Genomic DNA, 25,193 nt, shown 5'->3' on the forward strand with positions numbered 1-25,193 from the left:
ATAAGCACCCCCCTTCCCACTTCAAGATATCTTGCCTTTTCAGATGGAACTAATGTATCTCTTCCACGTATTGATGTATGTCTTTCCTTTAACTCCTGCCTCCCTGAAATATATAAAACCAAAATGTAATCTGACTGCCTTGGGACCACTTACTCAAGGCTTCTTGGCTTTGTGTTTCTCCCTGGGCAGTCATCACTCATTTTGACTCAGAATAAACCCCTTTAAAATATTTTACATAATTTGGTTCTTCATTAACAAGTTGCACCCATATACTTTTTCCTCCTGGTTCCCTTATGACCAAGGATATAATTTGGGACTAACTGATGAGAGAAGAAAAGTCTGCAATGATGAGGACTGAGCAGTGGGTACAGAGAAGTATGTCTGCCAGCAGAATCCAAGCCACATCTTTAAGGCTCAGATTTAGGCCAGAATATAACTCACCCCTTGGAGGTGGCGAGTCCTATAACACCAGGCTTAGCCAGTCTATGGCATTGCTAATGCCCTCATCAGTATGGTAAAGGCTTGCTGGAAAGCTGGTCTTCCAGAGCATCTGCTCTGTCATCAGAATTGTTACCATGGGAGGAACTAGGTATCTAGAAAGGGATCAAGTGGATTATTGAGGCCTTCTGTGTAAGCCTGTGCTCTTCTGTCTCTGCTTAGACGCACCTCTCATCTATCCATCACTCTGGACCAATTCACACTGGGCAGTCACCTCCCATTTGTTCACTCAATCCATTTACCCCTAGTTTAAGCTGGAACATGTCAAACATTTGTCACCCCAGGTTTTACCACTAACTAAGCAGAATGCCTCACAGTTTCTGCTTTTACTGTTCTCTGTGAGTGTGGGAATCAGGTCTTTGAGGAATGGAGGGTCCACAGAACTTAGCAGGATAGCAAAGGCTGGGTGGGAGTAAGGGAGGAGACCACCCCTCATATTGTCTTATGCCCAATTTCTGCCTCCAGAGAAAGAAAAAGTAAAAACTAAAAGACACAAATGAAATCCACAAGCAGACAGCCCGGCGCCACACCCTGGGCCTGGTAGTTAAAGATTGACCCCTGACCTAATCGGTTATGTTATCTATAGATTACAGACATTGTACAGAAAAGCACTGTGAAAATCCCTATCCTGTTTTGTTCTGATCTAATTACTGGTGCATGCAGCCCCCAGTCACATACCCCCTCCTTGCTCAATCGATCACCACCCTCTCACACGCACCCCCTTAGAGTTGTGAGCCCTTAAAAGGGACAGGAATTGCTCACTCAGGGAGCTCAGCTCTTGAGACAGGAGTCTTGTCGATGCCCCCAGCCAAATAAACCCCTTCCTTCTTCAACTTGGTGTCTGAGGAGTTTTGTCTGTGGCTTGTCCTGCTACAGAACAGTATGCACAAAATAGTTATCAGTGGAGATTTAGTGGTTGCCTATTATCTGCCTGGCACTGTGCTTGGCATTGGGAAATCAAATGAATAAGAAGCTTACAACTTCTTGTTGAATAGAAGAAGCAGACAACTAAACAAGCCATCATGAAATAATATGGTAAGAACAGGGGCTATTAGAGCATCTGGGATCAGCACCTAATCCAGCCCCGGTGAGAGATAAGGTTGGGAAAGGGAATCAAAGAACCATCTGGGGGAGGTGACATCCCAAGGGCATGGAAGATATTAGTTAATCCCAGGACATGGCAGGGTGTAGGAACAGACAGGAGGTTCAGCAGCCAGCATAACTGGTTAGAATTGAATGATGACTCTCTGCATATCAGAATGTTTTACTTATAGCTAGAAAGTTCTAAAGATTTAAACAGCAGTTTTTCACTCCTCTGATGGTATTTAATGATGGTGATTAAATACCAGTTAGTATTCACATTCAACCTAGGTTTACTTTAGAAAGCCTTCTGTCCTGATCTGGAAAAGAAAGCTTAAAATGTGTCAAGGTCAGAAAAAGCAATGCCCGGGTATCTATCCCCTACTCGCTAGCTCTGCTAGAAAAACAAAGGCCATCAGCAAGTGTCAACCATGCTGGAATGTGCTGGCGCAGCTCTGGGGCTCCGGGCATTTTCTCTCCTCTCCTTCTTTCCTCTTTTGGTCTAGTGAGCTTGCAAGCTGCCTGCATTCTTGTGAGCTGCCCCTGTCAGGTCTCATACAGGACTCCCTGCTTAACCAGGCAAACACACACGATTGCTTTCAAGCAGACTTCCTCCTGGATGCCTCCCCAATTCCCACTGCTCCACCCACACATGCCCTGGGGCCCTTAGAACTGTGGCAGCTCTCTGGAGACAGAAAGTCTGCAAGGGAGAAACCCTTCTCTTGTGGGAGAACTTAAATGGGGGAGAGGATATGAGATGTGATTGCTAGATCCTGTCCATAGGACTCAGATGGAAGTACAATGGTTCATCCTCTTAGAAAAATCCTTAAAGTTTTCAAAAGAAAGGAGAGGACCTTCCAATCTTTGCTTCCGTAGTAAGTGTAAATAACATTCTTACAAGCTCAAATTAAAATTTAGCATGGATTATATCATTTAATCTACACAATAATAAAGTGTTTACTATTATTATCCCTCGATGTGCCTCAATTCGTTCATCTGTAAATTGGGGATAATAGCACCTACCTCTTAGTCTTATAGGAATCAAAAAATTAATAGTAAATACATTGGAACTATGCCTAGTGCATAGTAAGCAGTCAAAAAATATCAATATGTGTTTTTGTGAGGAATCTGGAGCACAGAGAGGTTAAATAATTTGGCCAGGATCACACAGCTTGTAAAATAAGGCCAAGATTCAAACCCCGGTAGTTTGGCCCCAGAGCCTGCTCTCCTAATGGCAGCGTTATTTGCTGTGCTGCTCTGCTGCACAAAACAATTAAAGAGTAACAAGAAACCAGTGACTTTGGGTGGCTAGAGAGAAGCTGGGGAACCCCTTGAGTTTGTGTAAATGAGTGGTTCTCAAAATGTGCCCCCCTGGCAGCATCCTCCCCATTTCCTTAGGAACTTGTTATAAATGCAACTTCTCAGGCTACATCCCAGATCTACTGAATCTCCAACTCTGGGGTGAGACCCAGGATACTATGTTTTAAAGCGTTCTCCAGGGGATTTAGAGGCACACTGATATCCCAGAAGCACTGGAGTCGACTTTTAACTGTTATATCTACTACGCACCCAGCCTCCATAGCAGAACATGGCTCTCAAGTTGCTTCCACTGCTTTATGATATTCTTCAACCCATCCCTCACCCAAGCTGGTGATAGAGGTTTTGAAAGGGCTTGGTACAGGGCAATCTTGCAGCAGAGGGCTGCAAATGTGAATTATTAGAAATGTGGGCAGTCTGGAAATGTGAATTAACTTTTGGCCTCATGGCCACATCATATGGAGGCCTCCGTTTTCTGAGATGCTAAGTCACAGATGGAGAAAACAGATTTGGTACCTGGGTTTTTGGGGTGGTTATTGATTTTTTTCACCAAATTCCCTGGAAATATAATTTAAGGGCCAGAGAAGCTAAAAGGAAAGCGACCAAATGAATCCTGCCTCCTGGGGAGTGTTGTCTGTGTGTTGTGGGGGTGGGCAGCAGTATGGCCAAGGCAACTGTAGCTTTATAAACTGGGTGAGGTGAGGTGAGATAGCTACAATGTCAGAGAACAATTCTGAGTTTTATAAAGACACAAAAGTACTAAAATTTTCTCAAGATCAAGGAAGGGGAAGGGTTGGCCCATGAAAGTTGCTAAACAACTTTCTTTAGCAACTTGATATTCCACGCTGCTTCCGCCAGGCTCAGCCTGCAGCTGCAACCTTCAGAGAGCTGCAAGGAGTATCATTGTTATTACCTAATACTGCCATTTATTGAGTACAGCCCCTGTGCCAGGCACTATTCATTGTGCATGTGCTCATTGTTTTAATTCTCTTAGAACTTGGAGTAGGTATCATTATTTTCATCCTTCTATTACAGATGGATTTAAGGAAATTAAAGCACATAAAACTTAAGTAGGCCAGGCACGGTGGCTCATGCCTGTAATCCCAGCACATTGGGAGGCCGAGGCGGGCAGATCACCTGAGGTCAGGAGTTCGAGACCAGCCTAGCCAACATGGTGAAACCCCATCTCTACTAAAAATAAAAAAATTAGCCGGGCTTGGTGGCAGGTGCCTGTAATCCCAGCTACTCCGGAGGCTGAGACAGGAGAATCACTTGAACCCAGGAGGCAGATGTTACAGTGAGCCGAGATCGCGCCATTGCACTCCAGCCTGGGTGACAGAGTGAGACTCTGTCTCAAAAAAAAAAAAAAAGTTAAGTAATTTGCCAAAAAACAAACAGCTACCAAGTGGTGGAGCTGGTTGGAACCCAGGTATTGTTTGTATAGATCAGTCCTCACCATGTAATTCTGCCTCTTCAGCAGAGTTTGTGTCTACTGCAGGAGGTGAGGAAGTGAGGGAGAGTGGGAGGAGAATGGGGTGAGAAACCTAAGTCCCTCTGTTGATCCTGGGGCTAGACTGACTCTCCAGCGCTGCCTCAGCCAAACACTGCCACATCAGTCTTCTGGACTGGAGTTTGACACTTTCGCCTTACTCATCAGTCAGGTGACAATGACACATGCAAGCCTTTGCCAGGGAGCATCCTGAGACAGGTATCAAAGTCTAGCCCTCCAGCACTGTGTTATATCAACCCTGACTGAGACTAGAGCTCAAGCAGGCACCCAGTTCTTGCAGAGCTGCCCTGGCTTCAGGGAGTTTGGCTGAAGCCCCAGCTGCCTCTCTTCTCAATGGGAAATTGCCACCAAGCGTATTCTGGCTGGAGGGAGGGGCATTTCTCTTCATGACTGCCACTTCAGCTGAGGAGGCTGGGTTGACAGGTATAACCAGGTTTTCCCCATCTGCCTACCCTTTTCCTAGCAGGCAGTCAGAGGCTTCTTACTGAGTCTTTCCTTCTGGGTATTTTACAAAGTTGGGGGGTGGGGACCTTTCTGGTTTTCTCTGGGGGAAGAAAATTAAAAGCCAACAGGCCTCTCCCTAGGAAATTGCAGGCATATGCCAAGGTTCTCAGAAAATTGCCACCTCACCTCTCCTGACAAATGACCTCTCCTGACAAGTAGCCAATAGGCTTTCAAAACAGCAGTACCACTGACTAACAGCAAATGTTCTCTTTTTATGGAACACAAGGTGTTCACAGGTGAGAGCAGATCTCCTTCCTTCTGCAGACGTGGGGCTATGGAGAGGAAGTGAGGACTCTCATACTCATTTTACCAAACAGGAAAATGGAATTACCCCTTCACAGAGGGGCTGATTCATTTATATGACTCTGCTAATGCCTGAAGGAACTGGCAGCTCGAGATGGGCACAGGACCCAGACCCATGATCACTGTGAATGCTTTCTGAACAATGGCAATACCAACCATGGATCAACTCCATCACTGGGCACTGCTCAGACGTGTAACTCTTGGCCTCTGAGCAATATGTGCTTTGTTTCCTACTTTGAGGCCAATTTTAAACTTGAATGTGTGAAGCAAAAATTATTTTTTCCCTATTGGACAGTCTTTAAGAACTGGTAAAAATACAAGGGGCCCTTGTTACCTGAACCAAGATCTGAGGAAATGCTCCTTCCCCGAGAGGACTCTGGAACGAACTGTCCCTTTTAGCGGGGCTGATGCAGCCCCTGTAAAGCCCTTAGTAAGGACTTAAATCATTCTGATCAATTAGCTTAAAATCTACCAGTTCTTAAACACTTTCTCCCCCACTTCCTCAGGGAAGCCTTCCTCAGTCCCCAGTTCTAGGGGAATCCTTGCTTGCCTTTAATTTTTGAGAGCTTTATTGTCACCTGGGTATTAAAGAGCTTCTGTTTGAGAAGCAGGCTGTCACTTCTGTCTAGGTCAGGCTTTTCTTCACAGCACGTTGTGAGCCAAAAATCCCTGAGCCTATGCTGGAGGGACCCCAGGTAACCCCTGACACTGCTGCTGTATTTGTTCAAGCAAATCTTTACTGAGAGCCTTTTATAAGTCAAACTTGATGTAGAGCTAGGAGATACACTAGTGATTCAAACAATTATTCCTGCCCTCACAGTGCCTACATTCTAGGAAATATAAATAACATAATTTTAATATGGTGTATTAGGAAGTGATTATTGCTATGGAGAAAAGCAAGGCAGGGATGAAGTAGCTAAGAAGACTGATGGTGGGGTCTGAGGGGATCCAAATCAGGTGTGGGTCACGGGGTAGGATTATCTTTTGGCCTGAATTATTACTGCTCTCCTGGCCCCTAGTCCCTGTGCTTTTACCAAGAGTGCCTCCTTTTGTTTATTAAATAAGAGATGGGGGTCTCACTATGTTGCCCAGGCTGGTCTCAAACTCCTGGCCTCCAGCCATGCTCCTGCCTTGGCCTCCCAAAATGCTGCCTCACAGCCTGGGCCACTGTGCCTGGCCCCAATAGTACCTCTTAATGCCTGCCTCTCTTCCTTCGATTCTTCTATTCCTCTCACTTTCTCCACCACCAAAAATTGTGCCTTCAATGCCATCCCCCAAATTCTCCTGATCTTTAAGGACCAGCTCAAGCTACAGCCTTTCCCCAACTCCTCTGACCGCTCCCTTCTCTGAGCTCCATGAAAAGCATTAAGCCACACAAGTGATATTTGATCTTGTCTTCCATTGTTTCTTCTATATGCTTCTTCTATATCTTTCTCAACTGATTAAAAGCTGTGACAAATGGAGGCTAAGATCCCAGCATATTGCTTTGAATACAGGAGGTGTTTAGTAATCATACCAGGTGGCCTCAGTCAGCTCTCAGTGCAATTTGGTAAAAGCTGACTCCTCATTCCATTTTAGTAAGCTACAGCTTTTTCTACTCAAGCCCTGAACCACTCCTCCAATATCTCTCAGCAGAAACTTTACTAGCATCCATCTTGGATGAATTTGCTCAACTTTCCTTCTCAAAACCTCAGAATTAAATCTCTATTTTCACCATCTTTCTCCTGTTTAAGAGAGAATTATTACTAATTCTTGCCCAAGACTAACTGCTTTATTTACACTTTCCCACCATAGCCACTCATATGCTCTGGGATCTTATTGTCTTTATTACCCAGAAATTCTTATTCATCTCTTAGGGTGCTGGCTTCTTCTTAGTATCCAAGTGAGTTGAAATCTTTCTCATTAAAAATAAGAAAAAGTCTTGATACGTCTTCCTCAATGGTTTGGCTACTACAAAATTATTATAAAAGGAAAGGTAAATGAATTAAAACCTGGACTCTTGAACTAGATTGCCTGTAGTTTAATTACCAGTTCTGTTGTTGCTATGTGGCTTTGGGAAATTTACTTAACCACTCTATGCCTCAGTTTCCTCATCTGTAAAATGGCGATAATAATAATAACTGTTTCATAGGGTAGTGATGAGGATGGAATTAATTTTCATAAACTACTTAGAACAGTGCCTGGCATACTATAAGTGATATGTGTTTGATATTTGACATAAATAATTATTAAGCCTTATATATTATTCTTTCTTTCATTTCCTTGGTCCTATTTCTTTCTTCCCAAAGCTACTATCCAATCTTCTGTTTCCTTTCGTCACCAATTTTTTCAAAAGGACAGCCTGCAGTGCAAACTTTCCACTAACTGTTTCCATTTTCTCATGTCCCTTTCACTCCTCAACCCACTAGAATATTGAAAGTTCCCAATGGCCTCTTAAGCTTCTAATCCAAAATTTCATTTCCTTTCATTTGACATCTAGTATCCAACTTGGAATTTCTTCCTTTGCTTTTCTTGCCATTTCAGCTTCTCCTCAGCCAGCTCCTTTCCTTTCCCAAGAGACTCCATCCCAAGGGGTCTCTTGGGCTTCTTCTCATACTGCATTCTCTTCCATTGGTGTTATTCACACTCCTGCCTTCACTTACTGCCTACCTTCCATTGACTTTCACACCTACTAGGACTGACATTTTTCCCTGAGCACCAGCCCCTAAGCTTGACCAGTTATACAGATAAATGCCATATCGATACTCTTCTGATAGATTAGGGTTCAGCTATCTTCTAGATTCTAAATCTAGAAGATTTCGAACAGGTAAATCTTCTCCCTGTCATGTATTGCTTCAAATCTCTGTTTTGGCACCCAGTCGCAAACACCAGAAACCTTAGGGCCTTTGTGGTTCTGCATCTGGATGTGCCTTTGCATTTCACAAATCAGTTTTCACATCCCTTAGCTCATTTACTCCTCACAATGACCCTAAGAGCACTATTTGATTACGTGATTTTGCAAGGCTTAATTTGAATAAGTATTTTTTTTCCCAGAATGACAAAATAAACACATTTTCTAATTCTTTTAAGAAAGAGTGAAATAACTCCTTTCTACAGAGGAAGAAAATAAGTTTTAGAGGTAACAAATTTTTCTAAGAAGTTGTAAGGGTCAAATGAAATAGTACGTGTTGTGAAACTTCATCTACCTTAAAACATCAGGTAAATGCAAAGTTTTCTTGATTATTAACATAATGCTAAATTATTGGTGACACAGCTAATTTGGTAAATGTCACAAGAAGAGTATTAAGTGTACAGAAATACAGAGGTGAGGGAAATCGGTTTAGTTAGGGATGATAAGGATCTTGGGAGAAGAGTAGGATTTTAACAGATGGACAGCATGATAGAGGACCAGCTTCTCCATGTCTCATTCTGGTCTACCACTTTTATATCTGTCCTTAATACAAAGCTGACTTGAGTGATCCTTTCTCAGCACTTCTAGGTAATGGCTGGAGGTTTCCTCTAAATGCAATAGACAAATTTAAGGCACCTTTTATAAGAACATTAGGACACTAACTCAAAGGTCACTTCTTCTGAGGGAATAAAAAAACCATCCAACCTGCCTGCAGCAGCTCATACTATTCCACCCTCCATGTGGACAAGGAACACATGGGAACAAGGAACATAGGGAGCAAGAGTGTGTGCAGGACAATGAACTGCAGAAGCGTCATTGACACATGGACATAGCCAGAGTACGTGTTTCCAAATCATGAAACCAGAACAAAAACAAATCCTATAAAGGATAGTGTGATGACAGTTAGCTCAGGCTCAGGACCCTGAAGTGTGCTGTTTGGGAATCACTTTGCATACTGAAGCCTGTGTAATGTAGAAGGGGTCAAATAGAAATCTGGAGGATATTTTGGGGTAAGTCCATCGATAGTAACTGAAAAGCTAGCTTTGAGGAGATAACTTTTATTCTATTAATGTGATTACTTTATTGCTCATAAATTCAAGTTGAGATTTAGTTACATTGGAATAAAATGGGCTCTTGCAAACTTATTGAGTTACTGTAAACCAAGGTATTATCTAACATCAGGAAGAAGAAGGTAGTTCAGACAACCTCTCCACTTTGCAGCAGCTATTGCCCACATCCAAAAGATCATCCATTCTTCTAAAGTTTGGTCACTGCAAAGCCACTCCATTACTGTCGCAATAATGTACATGTTATATACAGTTTCAATTCTGACTGTTGCACAGAGAAGCAAGACAGAGGAAATAATTCTCTATCAAAATCAAGTTGAAGAGTGTACAAGTTATATTTCAGTTTGATGACCTTTAAAATGACCTGATGCAAAGTCTAGCAGTTGCCAACCTGACTGGGCCTGAATGGGATGCACTCGGAGACTCGGTCCTTGCCTTCCCAGCTTCCCCAAGTGCTTGAGAAAAGGGCTGGATTTAGAAATATGAAGAGGAAGAGCATGCAGGGGACAAGATGTGAGCAGAGAATCGAAGGTCAGGATGTGCATGATACACTAGAGAGATTAAGTGGATGGTTAAATTGGCTTAATGTCCATCAGCATGGAAAGAAATTAGGGAAGAAGAAGTTGGCCAGAAATTGATATCAAAATGACCAGCAAGCTTTTCCAAGCATCATTTTCTGCAAAGATAAAGTGATAAGGTAATAATGATAATGGTAATATCATACCCAGCACTTACAAAAGCCATGTCTCAAGGGTCTCAAAGCATGTTAAAATGCTGCATTATTCATCTTCTCAACAATTCTGTGAGACAGGTAAAGGGAAGTATCATTATCCCCATTACATAGGTAGTAAAACAAAGACAGAGGCAGTGAGAATCTTATTTCCACATCCCTGTAGTAAGCCAGCTGGTGTTCTTGGTCTGAAGTGCAGTCATTCCATTTAGGCTACCTTTTCTAAGGCCAATTTCCCTTGTTAATGTGTAGAGAGGGTCCCAGTTTCCATTCTATGTAACTCTATACATGTTTATCTCTTCCAGCCATTAAAAGTGACTGAATTTAAAGCCATATCTCTACTTCGTCCCTTGGTAAAGCAAATGGGTTGTAGATTCTCTTTTGATGTTACGGGTATCACTCACTGATGCCTAAAATGTAATCTTTGTATCTAAAGGTACAATGTCCTTTAGAAGACTTTGACATTTCTAGACTAATATAGGTTGATTCCATTAATCCATCAAAGTTTTTTGCCTGTGAATTTCACTAATCTCTCTCTTAGTGCTGTTTCTGCCTCATCCTCCAACCCCAACACCAATAAGGCACGATACATAATCGCAGATACCAATGACCAAATCTAGTGAAGGCAACAGAATGGCCCACAAACCTTCTCAACTAAAGCTACTTCTTGCCTTTGGTTCTCCACAGCCCACTGTAACAGACTGGACTTCCTGCCCAAGTGCTTCTTGGAGACCATTTTACTTACTCTGAGGGCAAATGTGAGGGTTAACTAAGGTTTCTCCTATGTCCAGAGCTGGGTTGAATGACAGCCCAAACTTTGACCCCTTCAGGGTCAGCTGAGCTTGCCAAGAGATTCTTGGTCATATTGTACCTCTTCATGCTTTGCAAGGCCAATCAATATTCCTTTCATTGATTGAATGAAGATTTCTACTGTGCCAGGCTCATTCATGTTAAATGAACAAGACATACAGTGTTGTGATTGGCCATGGCTTGTACTTTACTTCCTAGCTGTCCCTGAACCAAATTATCTGTGCCTAATACCAAAAGGTCATCATAACATAGCAGAAAGCGTATGAACTCGAGTCCTGCAGACCTCACTTTCCAGTTCTGCTGGGCCTACTGGCTATGTAACCATGAATTCAGAACTCAATAGGTAAACTCTTTGAGACTCACTCCACTGCTTTAGTCTTTCTCTGCAGTGCCTGGCAGAGTCCTAGACACAAGATACATGCTCAATTAGTGCCAGTCAACTTGATTTGACTGAACCTACCTATCGGACACAGCAGCAAGTTTAAAGCTTCTCCTTCCAAGCTGTATCTAGGTCAAAGCCATCACTGAGGAAAACAGACTCTGCAGTAGTTGAACACCAGTTGTTACTTATTTTTCTCTTCACGTTCTTACTAGACATAAAGCCCTCTCCTACCTGACAGAGCACTTTATGAAGCTGAATAAACTTACAGCCTGCTCTGACGTTGGAGTACAGGTCACACTTCTCGGCAGAAACTCCTGAAGAATACATAAGAGCCCTGCTCCTCCCTTATGACACCTATGGTGGCTGGCATGGGAAGAAACATACAATGGAAATAAACAGCCCATATCTGTAAAGCCTAAGGTGGAGAGAGATGGTCTCTATGAGACATGGAACAATCTGGTTATTTAGGTCAGAAGGGTAGTAGAGAAAGAGCAGCAGTGCAGGGCCCTGTGGCCATTGCCAAGATGACAGCATGGTCCCTCCCTTCCTTGGTAGTCCTCCCAACACTTCCCTACATATATCCCAGGATCCAGAGACAATGAACTACTTGAAATTTCCTGAAAGTGCCTGTTTCTCCCTCCCCACCCCAGGCTTTTGTATGTGCTATTGTTCTGCCTTCTTAGAATGCCCTTCTCAGGCCTGACTTTCTGCTACTCATCCTTCTGGGCTCAAGTTGGTATCAATTCCCTTCCTCTTGTAAGTCTTCTTCCTCATCACCATGGCAGACTATGTTCTTATAGTACCCTCTCCCATCCTCATATGTCACATGCAATATTGTAATTGTTAATTCATGTGGCTGTCCCCAGGATGATGATGACAACAACAGCATAGATGTCATCTGCTGAGTGCTTACTATGTTCCAGGTACTATATGTCTTTAATTCTCACATCAAGCTTGTGAAGTAGGACTATTATTTCCATCATATAGATGTGGAAGATAAACTTTAGAGAGGTTTTGCATACATTTACATAGTTAATAAGAGGCAGGATCAAGATTAGAACACACATCTGTCTGACTTTAAGTCTGTGATTTTCCCCACTACATCATGAAGCCTCCTATTTGGCTGTGCACAGCTTGAGGGCAGGGACTGCATCTTTCATCTCTGTAGCTCTAGCATCCAGCACCTAGTGCCTAGAATGCAGTAGCTTTTAGTAGGTGCTCAACAATGTGTTTGATGAATCAATGGATGAATGGCAATAAATGGCCATCTCAGCCAGATTTGTCTTGGTCCTGATAATCTCAATATTGTATTTCTTGGCTCTGGATATCCATTTGGGAGGATCAGTTAAGCCTGAAGTAAAAAGACAATTCAAGGGCAGCTGCAAGAGAACATTCTGTAACTTGTTTATAAATATATGAGATAAAATTTGACTGGGCTGAGTTATTGGGAGAGAGAGCTCTGTAAAGCAAGACAAGCATCCAATGAAGCAATGGACATAGATAAATTGTATTTACTCCCCAGAACTCCCTCAAAGGGATTTGCCTTAGACAAATAGCTTGGCCTTGTTTTCACAATAAACAAGTGGTCTCCAGTATGAGCTAAGCCTCCCAGCTAGGCAGTTACTGGTTAGAAAACAGGTCTGGACCCAGAACTAGTTGGAAGCAGTTTCTCTGTTGGAGTGGGAGGAAAGAACAGGCTACTTTTGATGGAAAGGATATACCTGAGAAGAGGCTGTCAACCCACCCCTGGCCACAGGCTGATTAGAGGCAGTATCTGAACTAGAGTCTGGCAACTCCTCAGAATTCTCCTTGCCTCCCAGGCAGTGGTTCTCATCTGTAGAGGACAGGCTCCAAGGAACTAGTATCTTTTTAAAGCCTCCTTTCTGAGCAGTTAAATAAGAGACTGTTTCTTCCTATTCCTTTGGGAAAATTCTCCCTAAAAAAACAAATGCATTTGTTGATTTTCATAGAATTTGGATTTCACATCTTAGCTGAAGCCCGGGCCTCCTTTTCAGTATTGACTTCCATTGAGATTAAGCACAAATGGGTCCTAACACAACTCATGAAAGTGCCAGTTTCCCCCTTGCAAAATAAAAGGTGATCTGTCACCTAAAACTACCCAATTTTTCTCAGGCAGAAAATACATAATGTCAGAGCATGCCAATTACCATAGTGCTTGTCTTCTATCTCTAGCTTTCTCTATTGGTAGGCTACTTCCCTTGAATATCTGTGGATTTAGATGTTACATGTTTTCTAGTCAGAATTGGGCCTAAGTGTATTTGTGGCCATGGTCTTGTTGAAGATTACATTTTTCTTAGTGTACTAATCTAATGCCCCCTGAGTTTGCCATTGTATCTCTGTCGGCTTTTCTGTAATAAATTTGTGCCCTAGGACTACAGGCAATGGCAAAACCCCAAGCTTGGAAGCTGCTTGGTAGTTGACTGGTGGATCTGTAGAGTAGGTATTTCTAGAAGATGAGTAAAATCAGGCAGATGTGGTGGCACATGCCTGTAATCCCAGCATTTTGGGAGGCCAAGGCATGCGGATCACCTGAGGTCAGGAGTTCAAGACCAGCCTGACCAACATGGTGAAGCCCTGTCTCTACTAAAAAATAATAATAATAGTACAAAAATTAGCTGGGCATGGTGGTGGGTGCCTGTAGTCCCACCTACTTGGGAGGCTGAGGCAGGAGAATCACTTGAACCCGGGAGGTGGAGGTGGCAGTGAGTTGAGATCACACCACTATAGTCCAGCCTGGGTGACACAGTGAGACTCCATCTCAAAAAAAAAAAAAAAAGAAGAAGAAGAAGAAGATGACTAAAGCCATTCATTTATTTACTCAATATTTATTGAATATGTAGTATGTACCAGGCAGAGTGCTATGGAGCTAAGAATATAGATACATAAGACATTTATTTACCCTCAAGGGGAGTTATCGTCTACTGGAGAACTTTATGGTTTTAACATGGGGATTTTCACTTTAAAAGTCATTTGATTCATTTTGAATCAGAATACATCCAACCACTAAGGTTGCCTACTTAGAGGATCAAATTGCTGCTGTAAATCTTGGATACAAATATATTCCTCATAATAAAAGAAGCTCACCTAAAATTTTAGGAAAATGACAAGGCAATTTCTGAGGTGCAGAATGAATACATCAGGTAAGCAGGTCTACTTACTAGAAAGATTGCCTCCTGACTAATAGAGTGGGGGGCTTAGAGTCTTAGTGATTTATTCCTGAATTAAAACTAGATAATATATATATATAAGTACTTTACATTTGTAAAAGGAAAACATTACTGTTACACACTGACACCACATAGAATAATATTGTTACATAATACTCATTATAATAGGGTATTGTTACTATTACACTATGTAGAGTAATACCCTAAAAAATCCATGAGCATGGGAATTGCAAGTGATTGGATATAAGTCTGAAGACCTAATTGCCACTGTCAGAAAAATTTTTTAGCCACTATCAGAATAATCTTATAGAACCCTCTTGACCTTTTTAAACTCTAGATTTCTTTGTTTATGAAATGTGGTTATATCTAATCTACCTGCCTCATTTGATAGTATAAAGGATCAAATGAAACAATGAGAACTGAAAATGTAGATACTGCATTTTCTCCGTACCCAGTAATCAATCTTGCAGGTCCACTTCCAAAATCCCAGTTCACAGAGACCATGTTCAGAGAGAGGGAAGTGATGGGAAGGAGGCTGCACTGCTCTGGCCAATCGCCGTGAGGAAAGAGGAAGAAGAGGTAAATTATGTGCTTTCATTGGCTAACCATCCCCGGGAGTCTGAGTCTCAGTGGATCGTTAGCCTTTATTACAACAGAAGCAGGTTTTATCAGAATCTTTGCAGCGTATTTCCCTGTTTCTGCCTAGGTGTCTAACTCATGAAAGATATTGGACTTCACAGATGAAAAAAACAGGGGCCGGGCGCAGTGGCTTATGCCTGTAATCTCAGCACTTTGGGAGGCCAAGGCGGGTGGATCACCTGCAGTCAGGAGTTCAAGAACAGCCTGGTCAACATGGTGAAACCCCGTCTCTACTAAAAATACAAAAAAAAAAAAAAAAAAAAAAAAAAAAAAAACCTGGGTGTGGTGGTGTGTGCCTGTAGTCGCAGGTACTTGGGAGGCTGAGACAGGAAAATTGCTTGAACCCAGGAGGCAAAGGTTGCAGTGAGCCAAGGTCATGCCACTGCACTCCAGCATGGGCGATAGAGTGAGACTCCACCTCAAAAAAAAAAAAAGAAAAAAGGCAAACCTGTTTTCAAGGAATATTGCACAAGGGAGATGACCTCTTAGTAGAGGTCAGGGAGGAATAGTTCACAAGACAGACAATGGAAAAATATAGCTTTTTTTTTTTTTTTTCTGAGACAAGGTCTCACTCTATTGCCCAGGCTGGAAGTATAGTGGCACAATCACAGCTTACCACAGCCTCGGCCTCCCAAGCTCAGGTGATCTTCTCACCTCAGCCCACCCTTCCCTCCCCTCACCCAACTGGGTACCGGGGACTTCAGGTGCATGCCACCGTGCCTGGCTAGCTTTTTTATTTTTTGTAGAGATAGGATTTCCCATGTTACCCAAGCTGATCTTGAACTGCTGGACTCAAGTGATCCTCCTGTCCCAGCCTTCCAAAGTGCTGGGATTACAGGCTTGAGCCACCATGCCCAACCTATAGATCTTTATTAGTTAATTATATCAGAATCAAGATTAATTCAAATCAAGATTAATCAAGATTAATTCAAAACATTAGAAGATATATTTGAACAAATACTGAAAAATTACTCTAATCACCTGATGAGATACATCAGGCCCCATTTCCTACAGAGCTAAACAACAGATCTTCCAGAAAAATGGAGTTCCTTGCCTGCTTTGGGGATGGCTTGGATCTCATTCTCACACTTCCTCAGATGTGAAGTTTCTCGTGTTCGGATTTTAAGAATCCTTAAGGAGACAATAATCAAAGTTGCAATGAGACATGAAGAAGAAATAAAATTATAGAGAAATACTGGAAAATAAGAGAAACAGCTGGACAACTTCAGGGGAATTTGTAACGAAAGAAGGATGGCAGATCATGATGTGGACTCAAGAAATTAGCTATGTACAGTGTTCACTTTGCAGCAATTATGTTACTAATTACTATACTATAAAAGTAGTCTAATGATTATAAAAAGCTAACATTTAGATGCATGTTGAATTTCTGATAAATGTTTTATCAAATTTAAATCTTCCTTTATATACTGTCTAATTATAATCTGGCCCAAAACTAAGTGTGATAATATTGAATACTGAATGGATGAAGACTTGTCCTTGACCTTCTTCTAGCGCCCCTTATAGTCCTTTACTCCACTGCATCTTTGGGCACCACACAAGACCTGGCTTTCTTGGTGAGAACCCTGTGGTCCAAACCTTTCCCTGCACAATACACTTCATTAGCACTTGGGTTCTGGATCCAACGACTCAATGGCCCTGCTCTCCACAGAAGAAAAGAACCAATAAATCAGCTGCATAAAGCTCCCATTAAAGAAGAAAATAGAACTAGTCAAGAAACAGAGAAGAATTTAAAGGGCTAGGAAGAGAACGAGAAAAGTCAAAGAAGGGATGAGATTCAAAAAAGGAGATGGTGATTTACTAGGCCAAATGCTGAAGAGTAATGTTGAACAATTGAGGTGTTAGGTTTATTAATTAGAAATGTTGAGCTAAGAAGAATGACAGGAGAAAAGATGGAGTGCAATACATAGAGAAAAATGGCAGCTAATAAAGAAATGGAGATGGGGTTATAATAATAATGGTGATAATGACAGCTAGTGTTTATTGGAGAGGTTTAGTTGTGTGTCTAGTATTCCACTGAACACTTGGCATGCAGGTATAATATTATCCCCGTCTTAAAGATGAGCAAATCGCAACACAGACTGAATAGTAACTTACAGAAGTTGATTTACAGCATTACATTACTGATCATCTGGAACTGATGAAGCTCAAATTCAAATTCAGGTTTGTGCAACATTTTTGACTACTAGGTTATTGTGCCTCTTCTTCTCTTTAGAGGTTTATTTGAGTCAGAGGAAAAAATAGTTTTATCTTTATCTTACAAGGAAAATGAAGTTAGGGTGACTTTTTTTTTTTTGAGACAGAGTCTCGCTCGTAGGGTGACATTTTTAAATTAAGACAGGAAAGATAAAATAATACATGTGACCAGATGGGAAGAGAGCAGTAGAGATGGAGGCTGAAGATACAAAAAAACAAGTTCTAATTGATGGGAATTTGGAACTGATGGGATAAAATTTCCCAAGGAACCAAAAAGGGCTCTGATTACAAACACAGTTGGGTAAGTTAACTTGAGACATAAGAAAAGGAAGAAAATAATCACTGGGTTTGATGATTAGGAAATAATGTTGTTTGAAATAGTTTTATAACTTAGATTTCACAGAGGAAGTCAGTTGTTAACAAATATTTGGTTATTCCTTTTATGAGTTATGCATTCTGTCAAGTAAAGTCAACAAAAGCATTGCTTGTCATTTCTAATTATTTTCTAGAAACTGATTAAATAATAAAAAACAATTTATCTGTCACTACTCTATTATGTAAAATATTATATTGCTCCTTTCATCTGAAAAATTATATTCTTCTGTCATCTCTGAATAGTTAGGGCATGTCAATTGGAACTCATTTGATTCCAAAGGTCAGAAACTCAACTTGAACTAGCTTAGGCAAAAAAGGATTCCCTTGTCTCACAAAGCCAAACCCCAAAGCACAGGGAATGTCCAGTCTCAAGAAAACTGGTGATGGTCAGAAACAAATAATAAAAATCTACTACCTAAGTGTAGTCGCTTCTTTCACAGATGCAAAAAGTGAAACACAAAGGCATTAGAAAATTGATTCATATCTTTGTGAGTCAGAAGTGATAGTAGATATAGATCCTTTTACCAATCTCCATGCTAAGTTATTCTAACTATCATGTTAAAAATTGGAGTTGGTTTTGGTTGTAATTAGTTCTCCAATTTTATATTTCATAAACAAATAGCAGTATGTGATTAAGTTTTCACATTTCTGGGTACATTCTTAAGAGTATGTCTGGGTATTTCTGGGTACATTCTCAGGAGTACCTCTGGTTATTTCTGGATATATCCTCAAGAGTCAGCTTCCCTCTACTTTACATAAGGTACTAGGAAAATACTCATAATAAATTTATTTGGCCAGCATGACTCTGCTTGCTACAGGCCTGTCTTTATCTGGATTATTCATGGTGATCTCAGTGAGAACCCTGCCTACAGAGTCACAATGAGTGAGCTGAGGAATAGGAAACTTCAGCTCCACCTGGTCTGCTGACACAAGCTTTTGTGCTATCATTTCATCTTTCATGGCTGATTTAAGGGAGGACTTGCTTCCTGTCCAGCCCTGAGGAAGAATATAGACATTTAGACATTCTAAAACACAGACATCATATGTTTAATTTGTCTCTCTCAGCTTTAAATATTCTAAAGGTATTGTCATAGTTTACACAGCTTAAGGATATTTTTCTCCTTGTTAATGAAAGGAGTTTGCAAAAGTAATTAGTGAATACTTAGAAGTACAGTGGAATGTAAGGACACTATCATTATAAGTAGAATTTTGGAAATATGTGTACAAGGAAGGAAGGAAATATAGGCTTTAAAGAATCATATTTATGTCAAATTTATTATGTGCAGATCTTAGCCAGGGATACTGAAAAGATTAGATTCATTACTGAGAAAACGTCATACAAGGGAACTTTACTATTGATCTCCAGATTAATAGAACACAACACCAAACATATTCTTCAATCACCTGAACTGCTTACAGGACTAAAAATAGTCCTAATGGATGTTTTTCAAGCATTTCATGTTCTCTTCTACTCCATTGATTCAGATTCACATTCAACTGATTCTGAACATTTAGTGAACATCCAGATTCAATATTTACTAAATGACGACTTGGTGCTGGGCACTTTGCTGGATACTACTATTACCTTATTCGATTCTCACTTCAACTCCAGAGGAGTCTCATTATTCTCAGTTTGAAACTGCCATTGCAAAATTATAACTGAGACAGTGAAAGAGATCTGACCTTATCAATTTCATCTTGCTTCTAACCTCCAAGCTGTCCTTGTTCATTCCTGGGTGTACACTGAACTAATTTGGGGAGGAACTTATTTTATAGTTTGAGACAAAGATGGTAACAGCCCTTTCTCAAAACAAACCCCCTTCTTGCCTGGGGACCAGAGTGCCTTTGCAGGACTAACAAGTTAGTCAAAAGATTAGAAATTATGGTTTAGGGGTCATGCAGCTGGAGGCTACAAGATTCTGACCCTTCCCAAATTTCCCCTGGGGATAAAAATCACTATTGTAAAACCTGAGACCAATGCTTGAGATATTTTGCCGACCCTGCACTTAATGGATAAACTGGCTCCATCAAGTGCACCACCCAGATGGATAAACTGTCTCATCTGATTTGGGGGCCACTGGCTTCCCCCCACCCACCAAGCTGTCCTTAACAACTTAGATCCCTGAATGCTCAGGGAGACTGATTTGAGTAATAGTAAAACTCTAGTCTCCTACGCATTCAGCTCTGCGTGAATTACTCTTCTCTATTGCAATTCCCCTGTCATGATAAATTGGCTCTGTCTAGGCAGCAGGCAAGGTGAACCTATAGGGTGATTACAATTTTACAGAGTCTTAGAGAAATTAAGAACCTTACCTAAGGTCACATAAGTGGTGAATGAGATTCTGGAGTTCTAGCATTCTAGTTCAGGTCTTTTCTGATACCATACTTTGTGTCTCTTCCACTGACTGCACTGTCTTCATTTTATCAGAGTCAATGAGCAGCATTGACATTCAGATACTAAAGAGCAGTGGGAGAAAAATACTCTTTCTTTGTTAATTTTAGTTTTATGAACAAAAATTATGTAGTCTGCATAGAAACAATAGATAATAAAGCCACCCATAATTTCAGTAGTCATGAGGCATGACACAAAACCACCTGTTCTTTCCCATGTCAATGTATGTGTGTGCATGTGATTTTTGTAATGTAAGCAAGTTTTCTGTGTTGCAGAAAGGTGTGAAAGCTGAAACACAGCAGGTTTGAATTACAGGGTGTATAGGTGTGGGCTATTTCCCTGCCCCCAGAATTTTATTTACTCATCAAAAGCCCTAGGTAGCATGTGTTTGAAGACAGCTGTATCTTGGAAGAAGCTCCAAGACACACTGACAATATCAGAGGATCATGTAGCCATATGGGGCCTAAAGATAAGTCTTCTTTCTACACAGCCTGTCCTAATCAATATGCTGTTTGCCAGCTTCACATGAAATGTCCTTTGGCAAATAAAAATTATTTTAGGGAAACATTGGATGGACACATGTTGGTATTTTTAACTTTAAAATAGAAGTATCAAGTGAATTATTAAACAGGAAAAATCAAATCCTTAAACACATCTCCCTAATAATAAAGTTAATTCCATTTTTTGTGTATTCTCTTCCTGGGGACATCACTGTTGTTAGAGTGCATCACTTTGACTCCCATGGTCTCCTCTCATAAATGACAGTTTGTAAGAGTTGCAGTGGCTGATCTTATAGTTTATGTTGTGAGACTGTGGCCCTTGGCAGTACAGTTGCACAGTGTTTGTCCTTCTATGCACTTCCTGATAGTGCTTGGATGTTCAAACAAATATACTAATAATAATGCAAATATGCTAAAGAGGAACTGTTTCTCTCTATCCCCGGCTCTCACCAGTCATTTCTGGTCCAAAAGGAAGAACCCAGGGACTGCTTCCTGATTATGTATTTTCAGTGTCTCAAGCAACTGCAACAGGAAGGCATGAGACTAGGCCCTATTTCCTATAATATGTTATTTTTATCACTCCATTGCTCCTATCATAATCCAGCTTTTAGCTTTTTACATTTATAAACAAATCCCTCTTTTTTAAGAAAAAAAAAAAAAAAAAAAGGCCGGGTGTGGTGGCTGAGGCCTGTAATCCCAGCACTTTGGGAGGCTGAGGCAGGTGGATCACGAGGTCAGGAGTTGGAGACCAGCCTGACCAACATGGTGAAATCCCATCTCTACTAAAAATACAAAAATTAGCCTGGCGTGGTGGCGCACACCTGTAATCCCAGCTACTCAGGAGGCTGAGGCAGGATAATAGCTTGAACCTGGAAGGCAGAGTTTGCAGTGAGCCGAGATCATGCTACTGCACTCCAGCCTGGGTGACAGAGCGAGACTCCGTCTAAATAAAATAATAAAATAAAATAAAATGTCACATACAAAACTATGTATCTACTGCTGCCTGCAAAAGCAACGAAAAACAAAAAAGACATAGCGGTATCTCTTCCACTGTTCATTAGGCTTCCTTCTACTATAGACCAATCCTTCGAAGATTGTTTTTCTCAGAATATGCAGGGAGACAGAGAAATGGCTTCATGAGGGTCTCCATGATAAATACAAAGCTAGAGGGCTTGCCATGTTCTTTATTCACTCCCTCTTCTCCTTGCCCCAGCTCCCTCCATTACTCCTCTTTTTGTCTCTCCCTATTCCTTGGTCATATTCTTCCTCCTTCCCTGTCTATATCAATTTATCTGGACAGGTTTTTAATGTTGTGAGAATATTAAAGAAATAATACCTATATGTTCTGATGACCTCAGAAGGTTCTTTTGGGTTTCCTGGTTCTCTGGTGACCAATTTCTTCTCCAAGATAAACTGTTCATTCAGTAGGCAAATTAGTTCTCCAGCACAGTAATCATCTGTTAGGCTTCAGGAAGTGAGAGATTCATTTGGTGATTTTTTTTTTCAAGATTAAGGCTGAGAATCTGTATTGGTTTCTTGCTGGAAGGAAATAGAAACAACTTGGACAAGTTCCATCCTTGGACAAGTGAAAGAGCAGCACACATGCATGTGTGTGTGTGTGTGTGTGTGTGCGTGTCAGAAGGGGTGGTGGTGGTGGGTGATCTTAACAGGGCATTTAAGGTCTTCTGTAATCTTTCCAAAACTACCTTTTCACTTTTTTTTCACTTTTGCCTCCTACAACCCCCTGATATGTGTATATATATATATAATATATATATATGTATACATATATATACACACACACACATACACACATAGCCTTGTCTCAAGGTAAATTGAACATCCATCTTTTCCTTTAGTAAATGGGACATTGTCTACATGTCTTGGTTTGTATTCCCTTCCCACTGCCTGGAAAGTGCCACCCCATCCCTTAAACTTAATAGGCACATACACATGCCCCCTCTGCCAGTGAAAATGCATCTATATTTTGGGGCCCAGTCCTAGGTGCATCTCCCCCTTTACCTTCCTTGAGCAGCTCAGCTTACTCCATCCCTCTTTCTCCTCTGAACACCTGTTGCGCTTATCCTGTGTCAGGTGAGAGTTAATCTCCATAATGAAAACATATTGGCTCTGAAACCAAATGTGATGCTCTCGATAAAACTTATCAGACTTTGAAAAAGTGTGTGTGTGTTTGTGCACGTACGCATGTGTGTGTTTTGGTGAAGAAGCTGAAGGCAAGCAGGCACATGGCTGAGAGAGTCTGGAGAAGAGGTGATGAACACAGAGAGAATAGATAGAGAAAAGTGATGAAAATAAAATGTCACCTTCCAGTATTGATCATGTGTCTTACAGAAACCCATTTTCACTCGTCTGCTCACATGCTAGATATCCCTCACTCCACTTTGGCTTTCATCCTACAGTTGTTAGTCTTATAGATGCTAGAAATGCACCAAGACCTCTCCAACTCTAATCTGGTATTTTTAAACCATCTTTTTAATTTGGAGAGACCACTGACTACATGCAGAAACAGGCACATACAGATTCTACACCCAAAATACCAACATGTTCAGGAAATTGCATTTAACTTAATAAGTGCTGCTATTTTGGGCTCCAGCTGTATCCTCTTGACCAAAACAAAAAAAACTGAATAGCTTATACTGTTCTCCCTTCAACTCTCCAGCCTTTTCCTGAAAGTTCTAGCTTCTTCATATTAGAACAGTTTCAGACAGTCACTGTGTCATCCTGCAGTCTGCACATACACCGAAGACTTCAACACAACAAACCCCAAGTTCCTTTATTTCTTTTTTACCTTTGTTTTCTAATACTTTACATATATATCCCTAGACTGTAGTAATTACATACTCTGTAGACAACAGGAATGTGAAAAAGCCATTTGAGGACCCAATTTTGCTTCTATAACAAAGACATGTTTGTGATTAGATAATGGAAAAATTGTAGACCTTACAATACTTTTTCCAGATGAAATCCTAAAGATATTCATGTTATATATTCATATTTATATATATTCATAGCCACACATGTCAAACTTATGATTATTGATAACTTGTGGTTTTCAGATGAAAGAACTTTGAAATAAACATTGAAAGTATAATATTACATTAAAAATTACAGATAATACTTTTAATAAAATGATAAAATCTTCCTTCCTTTTTTTCCTTCCTTTCCAATTTTCCTTTTCTTCATCAAATATTTAGTATCTGCTATACAGGTGTTTGATGCTGTAGGACCTGATGAATCACAGCGTTTTAGGCCCAGAGCTATTTTAGATGGCAGAGAAAGACCCCTTGCTTCAGGATAGCATGTATTTGCTTCAAGTTACTTTCCCACTAGAGAAAGAAAGGTTCCACCTTCATTATTGAAATGGCTTAGCTTATAGCCTGGGGCTGGCTTATTTATTTTATTAATGTTCTGACCAAGACCAGAAAGCTCTGCTGAGAGAATCTCTGCCTCACTGAGGTTTTCACTCTAGGTTATATATTGTGAATACAGATATAAAGCCATTACTTGGGTGTGGATGGATAAAAAAGAGTCAATAGAGTGAGCTTGGAAAAAGAGCAGAGAAAGAAGAAATGTGAGTTCATTAAGGGAGGCAGGATTAGTGGAAAGAGCTTCTGTATTCTCTTCCTTTGCCATGTGGAATCTTGAGTGATAGCAGTTGGATCTTGATAGATGGAAGATAGAATGATCTCTAAGCAATAACATAATGAAAAAGTTGTGCCAATATAATTATCATTTGCTTTCTGCCTTATCAATACTTCACAATTTAATTTGTTTCAACTCAATAAACATGTATTTTAAATCTATTATATACCTCTTTTGGGCCTGTGAGAAACAGGTAAAAAAAAAAATGAGAAACTGGCTTCAGAGAGTTTACTTGATAGGGCGAGGGAGTCACAGCAGAATAATTATATAGATATTATTATTGTTTGAAATATCAGATGTTATCATTCCCAGAATAATTATAGAATATATCTTACTTTTTCACCCTAAAATGGAAATGTGAGCTGTCAATTAATGAGTGGTGATACAACTTGAACAGTGAATGAAATTAGAAGAGAAATAATGTTTACCTACTTTTTCTGCAACCACATTTTGAGTACAGTACAATGGAAATGTTTTATTTCCTTTTGTAAAAATAATGGCTCTAGGAGCCTGGGAAAGAATGTTTTAGAGCAGTTTCCAAACTTATCTGACAGTAAAAGCTACCTACTAAGTACAGATTTCAGGGTCCTTCTGGAGATGCTAGTTCTGAGGTTCTAGGGTAAGCTGAAGAAACTATACTTTTAAGGGAGATTCTATCTTAAGGAAAATTGGGGAAATTGCTATTTAGGAGAAATTACAATTGACCAAAGAAGAATGAAAACACAAAGAAATACTTGCATGAGTTAAAAAAAAAAAAAAAAAGAAAGAAAAAAACACCTCACAGATGCCTTACGTACCTTTTACAAATTATCTGTACCTACATTGGCAACATTGCAGATAAATACAATATAAAATTAATTCAAAATATTCTGCCCATTTATCAAGATATTTCCAGCAAATGTAAGTCTCTGACTGAAAAGCAGATAGAGTTCATTGCAATTATGCAAATATATGCATCATATTAAAATTTTAAGCTGATAAGTAAGCTCTGGGAAAAATAAAAGTAAAAACATTCGGCCAGGCAGGTGGCTTATGCCTGTAATCCCATAACTTTGGGGAGTGGAGGTGAGCAGATCACTTGAGCCCAGGAGTTCGAGATGAGCCTAGGCAACACAGTGAGAGCCTCATCTC

General features: G+C 40.5%; 4 annotated features.

Moving 5' to 3' along the window:
- Positions 1,676–2,176: an enhancer, noted in NCBI's record as "H3K27ac hESC enhancer chr1:172466106-172466606 (GRCh37/hg19 assembly coordinates)". NCBI's record gives its function as "activates a minimal SCP1, AML or CMV promoter by ChIP-STARR-seq in naive H9 embryonic stem cells {active_cell/tissue: H9 hESC(naive)}" and the evidence as "EXISTENCE:reporter gene assay evidence [ECO:0000049][PMID:30033119]".
- Positions 2,177–2,677: an enhancer, noted in NCBI's record as "H3K27ac hESC enhancer chr1:172466607-172467107 (GRCh37/hg19 assembly coordinates)". NCBI's record gives its function as "activates a minimal SCP1, AML or CMV promoter by ChIP-STARR-seq in naive H9 embryonic stem cells {active_cell/tissue: H9 hESC(naive)}" and the evidence as "EXISTENCE:reporter gene assay evidence [ECO:0000049][PMID:30033119]".
- Positions 4,339–4,633: an enhancer, noted in NCBI's record as "tiled region #5023; HepG2 Activating DNase unmatched - State 8:EnhW, and K562 Activating DNase matched - State 8:EnhW". NCBI's record gives its function as "activates a minimal TATA promoter and a strong SV40 promoter by Sharpr-MPRA in HepG2 cells, with weaker activation in K562 cells {active_cell/tissue: HepG2 | K562}" and the evidence as "EXISTENCE:reporter gene assay evidence [ECO:0000049][PMID:27701403]".
- Positions 15,299–15,593: a silencer, noted in NCBI's record as "tiled region #3225; HepG2 Repressive DNase matched - State 9:DNaseU". NCBI's record gives its function as "represses a minimal TATA promoter and a strong SV40 promoter by Sharpr-MPRA in HepG2 cells {active_cell/tissue: HepG2}" and the evidence as "EXISTENCE:reporter gene assay evidence [ECO:0000049][PMID:27701403]".

The sequence above is a fragment of the Homo sapiens genome, chromosome 1 (genome assembly GCF_000001405.40).
Source record: "Homo sapiens chromosome 1, GRCh38.p14 Primary Assembly".
NCBI lineage: Eukaryota > Metazoa > Chordata > Mammalia > Primates > Hominidae > Homo > Homo sapiens.